The sequence below is a fragment of the Homo sapiens genome, chromosome 9 (genome assembly GCF_000001405.40).
Source record: "Homo sapiens chromosome 9, GRCh38.p14 Primary Assembly".
NCBI lineage: Eukaryota > Metazoa > Chordata > Mammalia > Primates > Hominidae > Homo > Homo sapiens.
This window is the reverse complement of record NC_000009.12, coordinates 1,699,211-1,720,272: the sequence shown is the minus strand read 5'-3', so window position 1 is coordinate 1,720,272 and position 21,062 is coordinate 1,699,211. Positions and strand designations below refer to the sequence as shown.

The 21,062-nt window shown below is 39.8% G+C and overlaps 1 long non-coding RNA gene across 1 annotated transcript in view; it reads right to left on the bottom strand.

Moving 5' to 3' along the window:
* Positions 1-18,936, bottom strand: part of LOC105375951 (uncharacterized) — a 261,361-nt gene extending 242,425 nt beyond the window's left edge. The window contains exons 1-2 of the long non-coding RNA XR_001746599.1: positions 18,841-18,936; positions 1,361-1,406 (exon numbers count right to left, since the gene is read on the bottom strand). This is a non-coding gene — a long non-coding RNA (uncharacterized LOC105375951). The remainder of the gene's footprint in view (positions 1-1,360; positions 1,407-18,840) is intronic.
* Positions 18,937-21,062: the final 2,126 nt, after the last annotated feature.

Genomic DNA, 21,062 nt, shown 5'->3' with positions numbered 1-21,062 from the left:
AAGCTCCGTGAGGGTGTGTGGCATGAACTCTTACTCAACTTTGTATACTCCCAAGACACCTGAAAGAGTGCCTGGAGGTACTGATCCACTCTGAGTGTTATTTTCTTCACTAAAATTGAGGATAATTACTTGATTCATCTGTAGGTATGGCTGGCTATAGGTGACTGTATGTAATAACAAATATGCAATATATAACATAGGGTCTGACCTATACTAAGGGCTCAGAAAATTTGAGTTCCTAGTGGACACTAACATCTGTTTTAGTGACTGGAATTAAAACCAGAAACCAGGGTCAGAGCAGTCCAGTAAGTCAGAACCAAGTGGTACTCAGAACCTGGCAATCCCCTGATGACACACTTTGGGACCAGTCATTGCTTGGCAATGAGGCAAAGGTGCCCTCCTTCACTCCCCACCTCCAGGATGCAGGGTGCTTGTCTGTACCTTGACTTTGGCGTTGACCATATGGCTTGCTTCAAGCAATAGAATATAAGGAGTGTGATCTGATTGAAGGCTTGAAAAGCACTTGCACAACTGACCTTCATCTCTGGCACTCTACCAGTGCCGGAAGAACGTGCCCAAGTGAGCCTTCTGGTCCAGGAGGAGGATGAGAGGCATGTGGGGCAGAGTCACTTCAGGACAGGTCAGGTCAGGACAGGACCAGCCAACACTTACCATCCCCAGACATAAGCTAAATAAATGCAGATCGTTGTGTGCCTATGAGACATTGTGGACGTTTTTTATACAGTAAATGAATACAGACAGTGAGTAGATGCCACTCATCCCACCCTCTTATATTGGTTGCCGAGATGGAGACAGTAACCAGGAAACAAACAGAAGGCACCAGCACACTTCAACCTCAGTTAAGAAGATGCTAAGTTCCTTTTAATTCAGATAAGTGTTCATCAATAACTGTGGTAAAAGGCATTGTACTTTAGGCTTGGGAGAGCAACTGGCAATTACTGCATCTCATAAGTGAGAAATCCAAAAGTGACATGGCTGGTCCGAAGACACACAGGTAGTGGATTTGCAGTTCCATTTGCAATTTTTTTAGAGTATGGCCATTCTAAAGAGACCACACAAGCCTGGCAGAAATGTAGGGTGTTGAATCAGAGAGTATCAGGTGAAGAAAAATGAAGTTTATGCCTGTTGCTCAGGCTGAACCATTGACAGAAGTGAAGCTATTGTGACTGTTTCTAATTTGGTCTTGAGGTGTCGCTCTTGACCGTGGCAATGTGCCAAGATAATCACTGTCTAGGAGAGCCCTAATGGGAAGGAAGGAAGGTTCAGGTGTGTGTGTCAGGTGAGACACAAAGAGGAGGTAAAACCAACATGCATAAAACAAAATAAATTTATTACTCACAGGTCCTGAAGAGGTTGGGTGTGCCGGCTGGAACCCAGTGGGAAGTCTGGAGGGAGAAAGGAGCTCAATCAGCCAGTGGAGATCAAGTGAGAGAGAGAGAGGACTATGCCTTTATAACAGTCTGCAGGTGTCATTCCTTAGGCTTTCCTTTAGGGGTGTGGATTGGCTAGCTTAAATAAAACACTAATGAAGGGGGAAACCCACTTATACGACTCTGGTGTTGAGCATTAGGTTTTATCATGGTCAGCAGCTGTGCAATGTTTTAGTTTTGGGTTGGTGACAAGTGAGCTACATCTCAAACAATCATATGGGAAGGGGCCAAAGGAGATGGAGTATGACCGGGTTTCAAATAACTTTATGTCAGGCCTAGAAATGGATGTCAAAGCAGCAACTATATTAAACACATTTCTGTCAGACGTCTATGTCTCTGATTCCTGGAATGTGCTCTGTGCTCTTGTGAGCCTAGTGACTTACTGTGGTGGATGTCATATTAAAACATTTTACATTCTATACTACCATTGTCATTATTTTGCTTACCTGGAGCCCATCACAGTATCAGATTTGCTCCTACTACAGTTCATATGATGATTTTGCTTCCCCAGTGAGTTTCTCTTTATTCCTTTGAACTAGATGTCCTCATCACCCCAGGAGCAAGGAATTTCTAAGTTACTTGGTGTGTTTTTAGTAAACAGCTGTTTCTGTGGAGTTGTCCCTACGCTGTCTTGTAAGTGGCCTTATACCAGCAGTAAGCCTCAGTATCAGAGTTATCCCTGTGTAACTAGGGAGTGAAAGTGTTCAGAAATGAGCTTGCTGCATATTCACTACTGGCATTTCCCGTATTCTTACATCATGTTCTGGAAGATAAGCTGTATGTGTGCTAACTAGGAAAGGAATATAAGCCACAGAGAGCCTCCCTGATCTAAGATGCTATCTATTCATATTTTGCTCATTTCCTAGTGCTGTCCATTGCAGGATGCACCATAGATTTAATAACAGATTTTTGAAAATTTAGGGAAGACACTATATTACATGTACAATTGGTGGTAAAATGCATATCAGTTTCAGTGCTACTAAAATATGAAAAAGCATGCCAGGCACAGTGGCTCACACTTGTAAATCCAGCACTTTGGGAGGCCGAGGTGGGTGGATCATTTGAGGTCAGGAGTTTGAGACCAGCCTGGCCAACATGGTGAAACCCTGTCTCTACTAAAAATAAAAAAAAAAATTAGCCAGGTGGTAGTGACGCATGTCTGTAGTCCTAGCTACTCGGGAGGCTGAGGCAGGAAAATCGCTTGAGCCTAGGAGGTGGACGTTGTGGTGAGCCGAGACTGTGCAACTGCACTCCAGTCTGGGTGACAAAGTGAGGCTCTGTCTCAAATAAAATAAAATAAAATAAAATATGAAAAAACAATGCAACTCAAAATTGAGAAAATATGCATTCCCTAATGGATGCAGATGCCTCACCCCCACCATTTTCTCCTTTCTTTGCATGGCCATGGTGCTTAGACTCTTGTGCCATTATCTCAATTCAGGTGCTAAGACACTTTACCCATATATCTTAACTGGGTCTCTTTTGTCTTTCCTTATTCTGACACGAAAGCATGGTTTTCAAAGGAAGCCCTTTGTATTCCCATTTTCCTCTCAAGTCTATAATTCTACCTGCTCATTCTTAGAAATGCATGTGTGATTCCATTTCTTCTGGGCAGGGCAGCTGGTAGCATGACATAGAAGCTGAAAATCTCTTATGCCACCATGAACTAGAGCTGTGGGTAAGGGAAGTGGGATAGAGGTGTCCTCTTAACCTCAGAGATCTCAGCTCCCTGAGGATTGGGAACTCACTGGAACTCATCAGGGTTCTTAGTTAACCATTCCTGGCTGACGTAAGAATAGGAATTTAGTGAAAGGATTTTAGGGTACTTAGAAAATCACTAGGAAAGCTGGAGAACCAAGTTCTAAAAACAAGCAGAAAAAGAGAGGCCAGAAGGAACCAGAACTACAGCCAGCATTATATCACAGAACCATTTGGTGAGGGCATCACTGCTGAAGGGGCCCTGTGCCACAGCTGCGACTTGCTGCCATTGGGTAGAGACATGGCTGCTGGCACCAAAACTGCTGGTGACCTTGGAGAACTGCATCCTGGGAGATGCTGATGTAACCACCATCTAAATGTTTTCTCTTCTTGGAACATTCTTCCCCCAGATAGCCACATGGCTTGTCTCCCAACTTGCTTTAGGTCTTTGCTCATATGTCACCTTTTCAGCAAGACCTTCAGGGATCACACTATTTAAAACTGTCTACCCTTACCATCTGCCCCCTCCTCCAACATATTCTAATCCATGATGCTGGCTTTTATTTTTTTTAAATAAAATATTAGTTAACAGCATCTGACATACTATATAGTTCACTCATTTACCTGTTTATTTTCTGCCTGCTATAGAATGTAAACTCCACGGGGCAGAGATTTTAGTCAGCTTTGTTCTCTGCTACAGATTCAGTAACTTGAAAAGTGCCTGGCATAGATAAAGTATTCAATACACATTTGTTGAACAAATGAGTCAATGAATGAACTGATCCCTAATTGCTTCTGTTCTTTCAGTCACTAGTCCTCAATTCAAACTCTCTGGTGAGTGACATCTGTTGGTTGAGTCCAGGTCACATGTTTATGTCCCAACTTCAAGAAAGCTGGAAATATTAAAATATTATTTTCTATAATGATATTTGTTTTTGCTTCATCTCTTACCCGGGCTAATACCAACATTTCTTAACCATCCTCTCTGTCACAATTCTTTATCCTTCCCATTTTGTATTCTGCTTCCATAGAGATGTCTCTGAAGCACAAATGTAATGATAATAAAATTACATCATCTCCAGATTTAAAACTTCTCTGTCCTGCCGTACCACTGATAAGCTAAAGGCCAAAGTATTTGCCATAGCATAAAAGACTGCCCACGCTGGGCACTGCCTGCCCCTTTTCCTGCTGTCTGGAACACTCTCTCTCACATCTGCCTCACAAGCACCTATTCTAATATCTTGCCCAAGTACTTCTTTTCCTTGAATCCCCGTCCAATGTGAGTCACAACATCTGACTCCACTCTTGCCCTTCATCTGCACAGTAAAACTTTTACTCACTATTGGCTGTCACTGGAGTTTTTTGTTTTTGTTTTGTTTTTGTTTTTGTTTTCAGACAGAGTTTCGCTCTTGTTGCCCAGGCTGGAGTGCAGTGGCATGATCTTGGCGCACTGCAACCTCCACCTCCTGGTTCAAGTGATTCTCCTGCCTCAGGCTGGAGTGCAGTGGCATGATCTCGGCGCACTGCAACCTCCACCTCCTGGTTCAAGTGATTCTCCTGCCTCAGCCTGCTGCATAGCTGGGATTACAGGCAACTGCCACCATGCCTGGCTAATGTTTTGTATTTTTAGAAGAGATGGGGTTTCACCATGTTGGCCAGGCTCGTCTCAAACTCCTAACTTCAAGTGGTCCACCCGCCTTGGCCTCCCAAAGTGCTGGGATTACAGGCATGAGCCACTCTCACTGGAGTTTTACATACCACTTGTGCATCCCTGGTCACAAGTTCAGTCTCTTTTCTTCATTCATTCAGAACATTCAGTAAGAGAGACTTCTGTATGCCACATCCTGAGCTACGTGCTGGTGGTTCAATGATGCTGAGGTAGACCTAGACCCTGTCCTTAGGGAGCTTACAGTAAGCAAAACAACTATGTAAACAATGCATTAATACATTCTACGAAAGCAAAATGCAGAGTCCTTTGATAGCGTCAAACAGGAAACAGAAACCTAGTTGAACAGCTTAAATCTCAGCTGAGACCTGAAGGGTGAATTGAAGTAGAGGGTTGGGAGTAGCTGGTAGGAGGGCAGCAGAGGAGGAGAAATCATGAGAAAAAAAGTCTCAGGCAGCGGGTAGAAATGTCAGGTTTGAAGTCCCTCAGTTACGAAGAAGTTGTGCATACTCAGGAAGCCAAAAGAAGGCTAGAGTAGATGAAGTAAGTGATAAAGAGGGAGTCTGGTGGGAGATGATGCTACACAGATAGAAGAGAATTGGATCACACTGGGCTTCATAGACCATATTAAGCATTTTGGATGTGATCCTAAGGACAATGGGAAGCCATCTAAGAATTTTAAGCCCAAGAAGCCGAGGTTCTGATTTGCATGTTAAATATATCATTCTGGCCACAGTGCTTGTTAAATACGGTCGAAGAAAGGCAAAACTACCCTAGTCTGGGAGACAAGTGGTTGTGATGGAGATGGGCCAGCCTAGTGACACCGAAGGTGGAAACAAAAGGTGCATTTCAGAGGCATTTATAAAGTGATTGCTCTGGTAATGATTGGGTGTGGAATGTGAGGTTGAGGTGTATCTGCAGGAGGACTCATAAATTTCGAGTTTAAAAACTATGTCTGGGCTGGGCACGGTGGCTTACGCCTGTAATCCTAGCACTTTGGGAGGCCGAGGTGGGAGGATCACCTAAGGTCAGGAGTTCAAGACTAGCCTGGCCAACATGGTGAGGAAGAAGAATCGGTTGAGCCCTGAAGGTGGAGATTGCTGTGAGCCAAGATGGCACGACTGCACTCCAGTCTGGGTGACACAGTGAAACTTCATCTCAAAAACAAAACTATGTCTATTTCCTGTAATACTTTGCTACTCATACTGTGGTCCATGGACCGGTAACATTGCATCTCCTGGTACTTACTAGAAATACAGACTAGTAAATGAAAAGTTCCTAATGTGATTTGTACGCACATTCCAGTTTGAAAAGCACTGTCCTAGTAGACCTTGAGCTTGTAATTTTATCACAGTGCTTACTTATACATAGAACACTGCAAAAATTGGGCAAATGAATATATGCATATTCATATATGTGTGTATGTATGTATATGTCCATCTATGTACATACACTCATTAAGGCCTATGCAAATAAACTAAGCAATAGGCAAATATTCCTAAAGACTGGAGCTTTGTAAATTGCCATAGAAGACAATTTACAAAATGGTAAATTTTTCTGTTTTGAAAAAGTACTCTGCACAAGATCTACAGGGGAGGCGTTGTACTTTCCAGACAATTGTAACTAAAATAGTACAGGAATAGCAAAAATAAAATATTAAACAATGTGATTTTGTGGGTAGGAATATTTATATGTGATTGCTGTGAATAAGCCTGTAGACCTGTGGCTGCATGGAGTTTCTCAGTTGACCAATATAGAAAAATGGATCCACTTTGCTGGTTCCCCTGGATTATTCTTGCCTTGCTTGATGAAGGACAGTTTGGGAGAAACCAAGACAAGCAGAGACACAGGTGGCCACATGTAGTTTATTAATAGCAGCACAGTCTGCTGAGTGGCCTTTCCTGCCCTTTAGTTTTTTGCTAGAAAATGAGTTAACTAGTAGGTTAATTGAATGCTATCTCGAAAGTGCACACACGTCCACAAATGCTCACGTGTGTGTGTGTGTGTGGTGTATTCAGGTTGCTCACACTTCAGGAGCTTTTGTGTTCTGGGGAGGGGGTGGCTGTTGAAACTACCCTCCCACTGATTTCTGGGTCCTCACTGGCCACCCTGGAACTCTGCCCACCATAACTCACCGAGATGTGTCTGTCATTTTTGACTGGGTGTGATTATAGCAGCCCAGTGACTTGTCAGGTCCCAAAGAAATTAAAAAAGGAAAAGTCCAGATGGTGACATTTGTGGTGAAAAAGAAAAGTGTCTTTTTCAGTCAAGCTGCCTTCCAATTATTTAAATTTATACAGATTTTATTTATTTATTTGCCATTTTCTCTTAGAGAAGGAGAAAGTTCTGCGCCTGGAAAGTGGCTGCCTCTCACCCATGGCATGGCTGGGCCTCGGCTGCCTCTGGCTGGAGCGACTGCTTTACAGTGGAGTAAGAGGAGGGCACGGATATCTGCCGGGAAGTAGACCCCCCTGCTCTGTGGAATGCCTGTCTCCTATTGTTCTTTGATCTAGTAGCCCCTCCAAGCCCCTCCTCCCAAAGGTTTAATTTTTAATATAATGAAATTCAATGTTATTAATACTTTCAAAATTTGAGGAGAAAAATGTATACCTCTTTGCTTCTTTCTTGAGTCTGACACTATATGAGGTCTCATAAATGCTATGATTAATATCAAGTAACGTTTAATAGAAGCTTAAATGTTTTAAGCACTGTTTTAAATGCTTTACATGCATTATTTCACTTAAGCCTCATAATGACCAGATGAGGTATGTATGAATTATTATTCTCATTTTTTTCAGATAATAAAATGAGAAAAATGAAACTTCAGGAGGTTATATAAATATCTCAAGGTCACACACTAGCAGTGGCAGATCCATAGTAAGAATCAGGTTATCCAAGTCCACCATGACCACCAAACTTTACAAACAGAATGGCAAGCCGCACAGTATAACTCCACAGCAAAGGAAGGATTAAGCCTGGGTTCCCTGGGGATACGGAGGAAGGTTGAGTAAGATCAGAGGAGACGAGCTCAGAGGGATGTGTAGACGCTGACCAAATGCAGAAAAGATGTAAGGGCAGGAGGTACAGCATAAACAAGGACAAGGAGGCATGAATATGGTGAAATTTTGGCAGTACCTATGGTGAGAGCACTGGCGTATGTGAAAGATGAGTTTAAGGAGGCAGGAAAGCAATGCCATGTTGTGGAGGGCATTTGTTTGCCACACTGTGTTTGTTCTTCTTTTAGATGTGGGGACATTTGAAAATAAAGAAGTGATGTGGCCAGGTCTAAGATTTTAAATTATGCAATAGCCAAGTAGAGGATAAATAATGTTTTTCTCTTACATTCTTCTCTCCCCCTGCTTCCATCTGCCTGTAACCCCTACATGGGAAGACCTCAGGGAATTGGGTACTTGGGTATGTCTGGTTCTCAGCCCTTGGTCAGTCAGCCTTGAATGCTAGCCTTGGCTCCAGATCTATCCTGTTTGATCTTGCTCTGGAAAGAGAAAACAGCTTGGGCGATCCCTTGATTCTCTGGCCTTCCCAGTGGAAGTCTAGGTATACAGACAAATTATGAATATTCTGGGAAGCTGTGACCAAGAGAGATGTGGGTGAGGGAGCCCTTCTGTCTTCCACAAGACAGCCTTGTCCCATCTCCATCCAGCTCAGCTCAATCCCTGTACTCATCCCATCTGCCTAGAGCCCCAGCACATTCCTATCCAAGTCCAACTTTCTGAGTTCAAATGTTGAAATTACATCCTTTCCCTTCAACCTGATCTCTCACTTTTTAAAAGTCTCTTAATTTATATTTTAATCCTCTTTCCCCTTACACGACCCTGACCCAAATCCACCTTTGAAACTTCTAAATTTTTATAAAGCCTAGTGAGAGCTACTCTTCAGCTCTCACTTCTATATTGTCTCCACCATTGGAGACAATATAGAAGGTGAAGGGTACCTAAACCTTCTCATGAACCCAGTTGTAACCCTCATGTTAACAATAAGGATTTTTCAGACTGTGTATAAGACAGACGTGCTCATTTTACTTTAGTGATTGTAATTTACCATTGGGATTCATGAAGCATTCTTTCTGCAGCATCCCCAGTGGTTCTTCATAGAAGTGAATTATCCTTGATCAATATTTAAGGATATGGAATTGGATGGTAGAAATTGAAGATTTCTGTAAGGTAAGGTGGAAATCCCTTAACCTGAAAAAAAATGCTACATTATCTGTCCTAAAACAATTTACTGCCCCTTCTTTTAATATCTTCCCAATTCCCATACTCACCAGGCCCTAATTCTTAAAATCCTTTAAAATTCATGTCAAATGGAGCCTCCAGATGGGACACATTTCATGTGGGATCACCTTAAATAAGATAGAGACCTTGACAGGGTTAAGATCATGTTATCCGGAGATCATTGAGACTGTGAACCCCAGGTGTAATAAGGCTGTGGGGAGACATAGATATTTAGGATTCACTGCTCCTGATGAAGATATTTTCAAGGCAATGATCTCTCCAACCACCAAAACCACTGAGGATCAAGGTATGTCAGTCTGTCTCCAAGTACCTGCATCTCTGGAATTGTGTTGCCAAAAGCATGTTAAAGTACACTTTCAAACATACCCTAACATGATAGATACCTGAACAAACATGCACAAATTTCAAAGTGCCAAGCATATGTTTTATCATTCCTATGCATTGAGGATATAAAACAATTGTGTTTGAGAGAGATAATTTATGATAATGATAGGGAAAGGAGATGCTTCCCTTGTCACTTTAAGTCCAACAGGATCATTCTGTCAGCTTGATACATGTCCCATGAAACTTTGGCCTGTGTCTGATAATGATTTGAGTAATTTGGAGGGCAAGAGTCTGGGTCCTGCTTTGGTAATGGAGCACAGAGTTGCCGCTGCATGGGACTTGGCCCACATTCCAGACACTTTGGACAAAGGATGAAGGAAAATTTTTCATACGGCACATGGGAGTCATGTATCACCTGGAAAGTACAAATGATGTTCCCAATAGGGCCTGTGAAGAACCTCAAAAGTACCCAAGAAAAGAAAGGGTTAGATTTAAACTTTGTCAGGACAGAGAGCATAACGCTGTCTTAGCTGATTAACCATTCAGTGAGAATATTCTGCCCTCATAGACTTCATTCCCTTCCTCTGGTTTTAGCCCTGGTGGCATTAAAATCATGATACCAGATAAGTGAGAAGAAGTGGAGTCATTAAGTGGAAAAAAAAGAGAAGAAAGAAGGACCATGTCCACGTTCCCTGTCTTCTGGCTTATCAAAAACCCAACCCTGGGAAGAGAAAATAATTTTGAGTGAAATCCAAAGTTTAATATATAGAATTGGGCACTTCCCTGAGCTTGATTCTCCAGGTCCTAATATGGGTTGAGGGCATGAAAATGAAGCCGGTGAATATAAACTGTTGTATCTATACAAATGAAGTTATAATTGCAGTTAGGAAGAGGTCTATAGACTTCAGGAAGCTGATTTATTTGTTTTAAAAGGTGTGAAAGACTTGAACAATTTACTTAAGCATGGGAAACAATCAGGGAGAGGGAGAGATTTCAGACTTAAGTAAGAGTGGAGATAATTGATGGGGCAAGTCCTTAAAGAGGTTGGGAGGGAAGAAATCCTTAGGTAAAAAAATTAGTTTTGGAAATGAGAAAAGGTATTCTCCTCTGACACTGGAGATAAATAGCTGAGGATGGATGAGAAAATAAAGTCTGGGGTTTCACTATAAAAATTGAGGGAGTTATATTGCCAAGAAAACATTCTCACCTAGTTTTGTTATAGAATTCTCAGTGCCAGTAATCAAAGAATGGACCTGACTCTGCGATGTCTAAAAAAATTTAGGACAGTTCTTGGAGGCATCTTGGGAAGTCTCCAAGGTGAACATTCTTGACTCATCTTTCCAATCCCATGTGTCACAGGCCCCCTAGTGGCTTCTTTCTTCTGACCCCTGCTTTCATTATAGGTATTAGATAAAGTACATTGGGATCCAAGACAGTGTATTAAGCAGACAGTGTCCAGAGAAACATAACAGCAAGAAATAAATTATGTGGTAGCATGATCCTGTGTTGAATGGTTTGAGGTCATCCTGCCATAAGCAAGAAATAATGGGTGCCAAAGGGGAGAATCAAAATTGTGAAAAACAAAAAGAATGGCCAAGATTATACTGAAGTCAGTAAATTATCTTTAGTTTATTTGTAGCAGGTTGATCTTTGCCTTTTTCAATGTTACCCCAAGTTCTCAAGAGGCTACCTACACAGGTTGTGGCAGGAAAAGGGGAATTAGTTGTTTGACTGAATGGATCAAATCAACCATGCATTTTACCATCACGTATCCATGGTCATCCATGTTGTCAAGCATTCTCGTTAAATAACATGGCTTCCCAATACCAAGTAACTTGTACACTTTAACCTGTTCCTTTATGACTGATTGCAGTCATAGCTAACTGTTTCCACAGGAGCAAATGGCAAAATGTATTGTTGGAAGTAGGCTAGACATATTCACTATATTATTAGTCCTTCATTCTCTGTTACTTCTTCCATGTTTGGTGTCTACTCTTTTCGGCTAAATACAGAGTTCATTCTGTTGGCACATGGGTTAGTGCATTTGTGCTGCTATAAGAAAATACCTGAGTGGGTAATTTATAAACAACAGGTTTTTTTTTTTCTCTCTCTCTCTCAGAGTTTTGGAGGCTGGAAAGTCCAAGATCAAGGTGCCGGCAGGTTTGTCTGATGAGGGCTGCCCTCTGCTCCCAAGATGGTACCTTGATGCTGCAACTTCCAGAGGGGAGGAAGAATGTGTCCTCACATGGCAGGAGCCAGAAGGATAAGCAAGCTGTGCAAAGCCTTTTTTATAAGGGCCTTAATCCTGTTCAAGGGGGAGGAGCACTTATGATCTAATCGCCTCCTCAAGGTCCCACCTCTTAATGCCTCACACTGGCCATTACATTTCAACACCTGAATTTTGGAGGGGACATATTCAAACCATAGCACATTCCTCCTTATCATAGTCATCAGGGCTATCTATCCATAAATGGCTTGATAGAATTTCACATTGTACATGTTAAGTCTTCTGGAACTGATTTAAACTAATTCAAACTTTATGGAGCTCTTGCTATGTTGAAAACTCCCTGCTAGGTACTGGAAGGCAGAAAAAGATTGACAGGATGAGATGTCTGCTCTCCAGGCACTCACAATGCCTCATTGAGAAGGCAAGCATAAATATGGTAGACACAACGCAGACAATAAGTGGTATATTAGAAGCAGAGTCCCTCCCTCATAGATTCAAATACATTTTTAAATTAAGTTTTTCATATATGTTTTCCTAAAGGCAGAGGATATTTTTGAAGGTCTTAGAATTACATTTTTTACAATCATACTCTTTGAGGATAATATAAATAATTTCTTACAATAATCTTACCCTTTTTTGTCATCAATATATTTTTTTTTAAAGACTGCTTCATAAAGCAGTTTCAGGTTCACAGCAAAATTGAAAGGAAGGCTTAGAGACTGCCCATGTATCCCTAAACCCCACACAGGCATAGCTTCCCCCACGGAGAATTTCATACTTGTTACAATTGATGAATTTACAGTGACCCATTATAATCACCCCCAGTCCCAGTGTTCTTTTCAAATCGAAGAATCCTGTCCCTCATTACTTTTTATACCTTCTTAGAGATTAAATTGTGAATAAGGCAGGGATTTATCAGATGTTCTTTTGGTAGATGAATGTGATCATTTAGTCCATTTCTGGACAGGTTAATGACCCCAATCCCCATGATATCTTGCTTAGTGTCTGGTTAAAAATCTGGTTTATGGTCACCAAAGCATCCCTTTGCAAGAAAAGTTGCTGATACATAGATCCCCCTGTGCAAACTGCTTTTTGTTGAGCTCCCAGTAAAATTCACTCTGTTTTTTGACGGTGGTTGTGCTACATTCCAAGTTCAATGAACTATGGCAAGCCCAGGCATGTTTATTTAAATGGATTTCCTTGAAATGTAACACTAGCTTTCTAACACCTGTTTGTATTTCCATACATTCAACAGAAAGAAAGTGCTATTCTCATACTGAACATGTAGAATAATACCCCAATTTTTCTACTTCTGATTGAGGTAGGAGAGACAAGTTGTCTGTATGGTTTTTGTCATGTTGACAAAAAAGAGTCAAACTCTTTAAAATATTTGAAGAGAGTCATTCTGAGCCAAATATGAATGACCATGGCCCATGACACAGCCCTCAGGAGGTCCTGAGAACATGTGCCCAAGATGGTCAGGGTGCAGCTTAGTTTTATATATTTTAGGAAGGCATGAGACATCAATCAAATACATTTAAGAAATACATTGGTTTGGTTTAGAAAGGTGGCACAACTCAAAGTGGGGACTTCCAGGCTATAGGTAAATTTAAACATTTTCTGGTTGACAATTGGTTGAGGTTGTCTGAAGACCTGGGATCGATAGAAAGGAATGTTCAGGTTAAATATAAAGAATTGCAGAGACCAAGTTTTATTGTGCAGAGGAAGCTCTTAGGTAGCCGACTTTAGAGAGAGCAGGCTGTAAATTGTTTTTTATCAGACTTAAAATGGTGCCTGACTCTTAGTTGATGATCTCCTGGATCTGGCAAGTAAGGTAGGAAAACAAAGGGGGAAGGGGATTTTTTATAGAATGTGGACTTTTCCACACAAGAGAATTTGCAGGGCAATTTTAAGATATGGCATGAAAATATATTTTAAGGTTACATATTTTTTTTTCCTTATCTCATAATGTTATGCCAGAGTCAGATTGAAAAGTAAGTCACAATAAACAGGGTCAAATAAAACCCCTCTGATGAAAATTTGTGGTTTATAGGGCATGACTCCCTAGAACACTTAGGTAGAAATTTGCGCAAGAAAAAAAAAATCAGGACTTAGGACTCATTCATTTATTCAGTTAATCTTTCATTCATTCATCATGTTTTGGGCACCTGCTCAGTACCAGACTCTGTAGGTGGTCACTGGTTATACAAAGATGACTAGTCATGCAGTAGGGGGCGAAAGTACATGTTAGTGAAAGGCTTTCTTTCAAAACTACCAGCCATCACGTGAATTGCAGGATTCCAGCTATTATTTTTCCAAGTAACTTACTTTGTGCTGAACATTTATAGAGAATTCATTGTATTCTAATCATTAGAGTGTGGACTCTGTAGTCACACAATCTATATTCAAATCAGATTTTTAATGGTGTTACCTAGATAAAGTGTCTATAAAATGGGGACAATAACAATTACACCTACCTCAAAGGATTTTTTGAGAAAACCAATACCTAGCATATGGCAAGCATCTAAGAAACTTGAACTTTTATGTTTTTCTTGCAGAACTAACATACCATTTGTGTGTATTTGACATATCCAGGTGTGTGTTGCACTTTTGTGTAGGGACATGTTTTGTGTATTCCTTGAAGACGGTCATGAGGCAGTTAATCCACCTTCTTTGCCATCCAGCATCTCATTTCAAGTGTCTCTAGACGGATTCTAGGAAGAAACCTTGAATTGGAGCTACCCAGGATAGTTCCAAGAAGTTCTAGAAGGGCTACCAAGGCAACTAGATCTGAATCACAGGACATGAGGCGTTAGCATTCAAAATATCCTGTGAAATCCTCTAACATAAAACTGTCCCTTTTCAGATGGCAAAATGTAACTGGAGAGGTGGTCTCACAGATAATGAGTGATAGAGTGAAGACTTTTAGTTCTTTCCACAAACTGGAGATTCAGAGTTACATAATGGTGTGCTAGAAGGGTGGAACTAGAGGAAAGAAATATAAGCTGATTTCCGTCCCTTTGTGTTGCTCCACTTGGCTCATCCCTTTCTACTCTCTACTATTCCTTCATCGGGGGCTCATGTAAGCCTCTTAGGACCCCATCTGTTTTCACATTTTGGTTTAGGTCAGTGTGAAGTCGTCCAGATGCTGTGACTCCTGGTTTACCTTTCTGTGTAGACTAAATTTATGCTGTCCAAATCAGCTATTGAAATTGAAATTAATTAAAATTAAATACATTTTAAAATTCACTTCCTTGGTCATATCAATCACATTTGAAGTGCTCAGTATCTACATGTAGTTAGTGACTAATGGCTACAATATTGAATAGAGCAGATATACAACATTTTCATCCTCACAGGATGTTCTGTTGGACAGTGTAAGAATGACAAATGATTAATTTATGGACCATTTTACAGTTGTATATGTAAATCTCATTTAGTTCCCTTTAAAATGTATTTTTTTTTTTTTTTTTTTTTTTGAGAAGGTGTCTCTGTCGCCCAGACTGGAGTGCGGTGGCGCGATCTCCGCTCACTGCAAGCTCCGCCTCCCGGGTTCACGCCATTCTCCTGCCTCAGCCTCCCGAGTAGCTGGGACTACAGACGCCCGCCACCACGCCCGGCTAATTTTTTGTATTTTTAGTAGAGATGGGGTTTCACCGTGTTAGCCAGGATGGTCTCGATCTCCTGACCTTGTGATCCTACCACCTCGGCCTCCCAAAGTGCTGGGATTACAGGCGTGGCCCACCGCGCCCGGCCTTACAATAAAACTTTTATATGAAACAACTGATAATGCTGTTTTACAGATAGGAACTGAAACCCAGAGAGGCAAAAGTGAGACAGAACTCAAACAAACATCTTTTAATTCCAAATTCCCACTCCATCATCCTCCCTTCTAATATAATCTCCCCAACTCTGATGCTGCTTAGGGAGGCCACTGATCCTCACCGCCATTTGAGCATTTAGAGGAACCTCAGGAAAGGTTGCCACATTTGATCAAGCAACAAACAGCGACTATCTTCTGTCTGCCTGGCAGTGTAGTACAGGGACCATGAGGGAGAGAGTGCCACCCAAGGTCCTTGTACCCCAGGAGCTTGCAATTTCATTGAGAGCACAAGTTTTGGGAATAAAAAATAGATAAGCAGAACTGTTTAAATCCAGACTTAAACATGATATACTATTAAATATTTAAAAATAGATAAAATAAGCAAAAGTATATGCTTTTGATAGGTGTCAAGACATGGAGAGATGGGCTGAAAATTATTATTTTTCAGTAATTAATAGTTGCCTTTTTAAACTAAGTATGTGCATTACTTTGATTAGAAGAGAAATTATATAAAAGAAGAAAATCATTGGGGCTTTTATGACTTTATGACATTAAACATTAATCTTTCCCTCTAGAGATCAAATAATTCCAGTTCTAAAACTAACCTTTCCAAATTAGTCATTTTCCAATTTTTATTCTATAATGTGATTGATTTTCCCTTGTGTATTTCCCAAGAAAGTCTCTGCCCAGTGAAAATGCTTCCCTCCAGGACCCTCAGCTATGTATGACCTGATATATTGCATCTCTTTTATTAACATTTAAATCTTCACCACAACTTTTCTTGATATTTACCATTAATGTCTAATTGAAATGCATAAACTCAGGACTATACATAGCACGAAGTAGGCACTTGAACATTATTTGTTAAATGAACATGTAAGTATGTACTCAAACTACAATGCACTTAGGCAATTTGGAGGTATTTTGGTGAATAACTAAGATAATTAACATAACCCAGAAAAGAAAAGGTTTTTTTAAAAAAAGCTGATGGAAATGTGTAAGAGACCTTGTCTTGCAATATGGTTGAGAAAAACAAGTTTTGTAAATAAAAAATAGATAATCAAAACCAGTTTTAATGCATACTTGAGAATGATACAAGGGAGCCTATGGATTATTTGCCCTCTCGCATGTTTATTTCTCCCTTCTGTGCTTCTTTCTTTAGTCTAACTCTCTGATTTTACAAATAGTGAAGTAACCTTCCCCAGATACCTTTTCCCCTAAGGTAAGATTTTTCTCCTTATATCAGACTGTTTTCCATCACAGTGTGAGGCCATGTGTTACTTTCACTGGGAGAAGCATCAAATAGCTAATCCCTGATTTTAAGGGGCTTACAATGTAGTTGAAGTGACTGGACATGAAAACATTAAATAACAGTACTAGAAGTGCTAAATAGCATCTGCAAGTAGTAGAGTAGCTGCTGGCTCTTTCAAATTCACAATCTTTTGCTTAACAAACAATATCTAAGGTATGTGTCTGTGTGTGTGTGTGTGTGTCTGTGTGTATGTATGTCTCCTATCACGTCAACATCAAGAAGAGGCCTTCCCTTCTTTAACTCAGTCTCCAAATTTCAACTTTTATTATGTCATCAGTCAAAATCTCTACTTTCTTCACCTAAAGGTGAAGAAAGTCAAGATATGGTCAAATGGTCTTTTCCCACTAAGAGGAGAAGTGCAGTGGCCCCAGTCCTTGAATACACATGATGTAATCCTGTTCAAAGGTGAATCTGCCCTGTCTTTTAACAGGCTTGAGATTTTTTTTTCTCCAGGAACCTCTATCACAGATTTTCCCCATCTTCTCACAGGACTACGTGGAATATCAAACCAGGTTGGTCAAAATGCTTACTTCCAACAAAAAGGTACAGACAGCTTAAATTATGGAAGGCAAGAACTGGCATAACCACATTTCTAGGAGTTTCTTTGCTATGGTGATCCTGAGAAAAGAATTTTTCTTAATAATTGGCATTCTCAAATACCTTTGATTCCAAATTATTGTTCAGCCTCAGAAACTCCATTTGCCTGATGTCAAGTCTCTGTGATTTAAGCCTGTAAACTCCCTGGAATTCAGAGCTAAGGTGGTTGCTTTTCAATCTTTCGACCTGCCTGTATGTCCTGGCACGTATGTGTTAGTAATGATGAACCAACAGTGTTTCTCCGCATCTCTGTAATCCTTCAGTGTAATGGAAAAGCCAATCTGAGCTCTGTACTTTAAATCATATTCTGAATATTAACATTTGCTTAGCCAATATTGTTTCTTCCACCTTTCCCTCATGGAGAAAAGTAAGCCACCCAAGAAAATTATAAATCCTTGCATTGTATTAATACTTTGGAAGTGCCATGAACTAGCTAATATTGACTGAAACCGGCAGAATGGCAAATAAGCGTTACAACAACAATAACAACAATCAACAACCAACAACAGAATCCATCAGATACCTATTTTAAAAAGATTATTCAAGATCAGAATCTTGAATAATCAAACTTTTATAGATTTTACTAAGTGTAAGAACTCTCTTGATCTTACACTACCTGTCAATTTTTTTGCCATTTTTAGGGAGGGTGAGGCATCTGCACGGGAGAACCTGGTGAGAGCTGGTGGGTAGACTCTTGGAGAAGAGCTATATATTCTCATACCCGGAAATATAGCCGGCCCTTCCAAGAGCACCCCATCACTCAACCAAGACTGATTTTGTTTTTGTTTTATATGATTCTGAAACATGGGAGGATGACAAAAATCCAGTCTTCAGAAGTTCAAGGCATTGATCTGGGTGAAGGTCTAAATTGCTTTACTGACTTCTTAAATGCTTAGAGACTTGCTCTAAAATATAAAATCAAACAACGAGTAGTGCTATAAAATCACAGAAAGCATCAAATCTTACAGTGACAGGGCCATTGAGAGATCAAGTTTATTCTTTTTCCAGACCAAAAAAAAAAAAAAAAGGGTTTTAATTAAAGAAGACATCAAACTAAAAAGGTACTTAATACATGTTAGTTGATTTATGCCAATGAAAGGGATCATTTAATTTTGCAGCAGCAAAGCATTCTGATAATTAACAAACCTTAATTCTGATAATTAACAAGAATGCTAAGAAATTCTTCCATTCATTCATTTGCTTAGGAAATATTTTAAAGAAACTACTAAATGCCCGATATTGATGCAAGTTACTATTATTTGACCCTTATTCTATCCATAATAGAGAAGAAGAAAAGCTTTTCCTTTTCTTTGAAAAAGTTCCTTAAAGTTCACTCTAAGTGTTTTAGCAAGAAGTGCTCAGTTAATTTTTATTAACTATTTGTCTTCTTCATGAATGCAAATAGAAATGCAAATGCCATCTCATTGAACAAATAATATGAATTATCTTCATTATTTTATAGAGATACAAAAAAAAATTATTTTCTCACAGTTCTGGAGGCTGCGAAGTCTAAGATCAAGGCAATGGTAGGTTTGGTTGTCTGGTGAGGACTGCTCTTTACTTCCAAGATGGCACCTTCTTGCTGAATCCTGCAGAGGAGAGGAATGCAGTGTCCTCGCATGGTGGAAGGTGGAAGAGCAAGCAAGGTAAATGCTGCATCAAGCCTGTTTTGTAAGGACCTGAATCCTGTTCATGAAGAAGGAGCCCTTATGACCTAATCACCTCTTAAAGGGCTCACCTCTTAATATCATTACATTGGCCATTATGTATCAACACCTGAATTTTGGAAGACACATTCAAACCATAGCACGAGGCATCTTGAAAGAAACCTATATAATATTTTTGAACTGAAAATCAAGAAAGATAAAGATATAAGAATAGAAATTCAAGAATAAGAGGTGAAAAGAAAATCCTGTAACTTATAAAGATGTGGTTAAAATCTCACAGTTAATAATAAGCTTTCTGAAAACCTAGGTGCAAAGTGAGGCATGCTAAATTGCACAGTTTATATGGGGTGGGGTTTTTACTCTTCAGAAGAAGCAAAGATTTTCTGAGTATTTGAAGGCAAAATAATTCATGTAGAGGCTTATGTGGTAAGTGTTTTCCTTAACAACCTTCTTACAGCAAAGGCAGAAATAGGTTTCTCAAGAGGAGACTGTTCCTTGCAATGTACCTAATGTCTCGTTCAGCTTGGTAGAATGTTTGTCATGTAGTACATGTTGAAAATATGAGTGAACAATAATGAGGAGAAAACAAAACACTGCTCAGCATAGACAATTCTATCCTTGAACATGGGCCAAGATAAAGAGATTTAAGAATGAAGATATTGAAGTTGTTCAAATGAGCACGTGCTTTTATCTCTATTATTTCTTAAAATACACCTAAAGACACAGTAATGATTAAAATGATTTCAAAGAAAAGATCAAGGAGCATGGGTTAAGATACATCAGCACAAAATTGATGAAAGCAAAAAAGTAGATTATTTTCGGTAGCTGAATTAGCATACCAAAGACAGCTGAAAACCTCACCGGTAGTAATGGAGACCTAGAAGCTAGCAATTCTCCCTACAGAATCTAAAAACTGCGGTACTGGAAATACTAGGAAGCTATGAGAGTAGGAATGGGAGTGGGCTTGAAAACAGGGTTAATTTAAAGTCTATGTAAGAAGCAGTTCCATTTCCAGATCCTTTCTCCAACCCACACAGCCAAGGAACTGCCCTTTGTTCCTTTCTCAGCCCTGGAATAAAATTCCAGATTAAAGATTTGGAGAGGTTGGAAACAAAGGTGTTCATAACTTGTGAATGGCTGATATAGCAAAATGTAAGAGTAAGGCAAGAGTCTAAAAAAAAAAGGGTAATAAGTAAAACCTGACACCACTAAATCTCTTCCCCTTATAGACTCCTCACTATTTGGCTCCTGAAAGCACTGGCAGCCAAGCAGGAGAATGGAGGATACTTTTCTAGAGAAAGGGACAGAACCAAGAGATTCTGGCCTTTAGTAGTAATTCAACAAAATGGCTAGGTTATCCTACCTGATAACCAATCCATATCCCTGTATATGGAGACAGAGATTCAATCATATAAATAGTGACTCATTCTTAAATCGAATGACCAGCCATGGATCACTAGACATTTGAGAAAAGAATCTAACTTTAAAGCAGCAAACAGTACAGACAAACATGATGAAAGAAATTTGAAGGAAACAGAGACAATGTAAAGAGAAGAAGAAAGGTAGAAATATATATAACTCTCAGAATGCTGAAAGAAGAACAAAGAAGGCATAGAAATAGAACAAAGATTCAAAAAATTAAAATTTGGTAGTTGGAATTAAAATACGATAGCAGAAATGAAAAAGAATCAATAGAATGTTTAGAATCTAAAATTAAAAAGAAATGCCCTAGAAATTAGGGGTGAAAGAGATAGAAAATAGAAGAGAAAACGTAAGAAAATGATAGAATTAGTAACATGTAAAAATGATTTCTAGAAAAAGAAAATACGGAAAATAAAGGAGAGAAACTTGTTAAAGAAACAATTCAAGAAATTTTCCTAAGAATCGAAGAACATGAGATTTGAGATTCGAGATTCAAAGGGCCCAGTGAATCAGCACCATGGTAGACACGTACCAGGGTAAATAACTGAAATTTCAAAATCTGGGACCAGCATAACCCAAAACAAGGAGAGATCTTCTAAACCGCCAGAAAAAAAATGTAGAT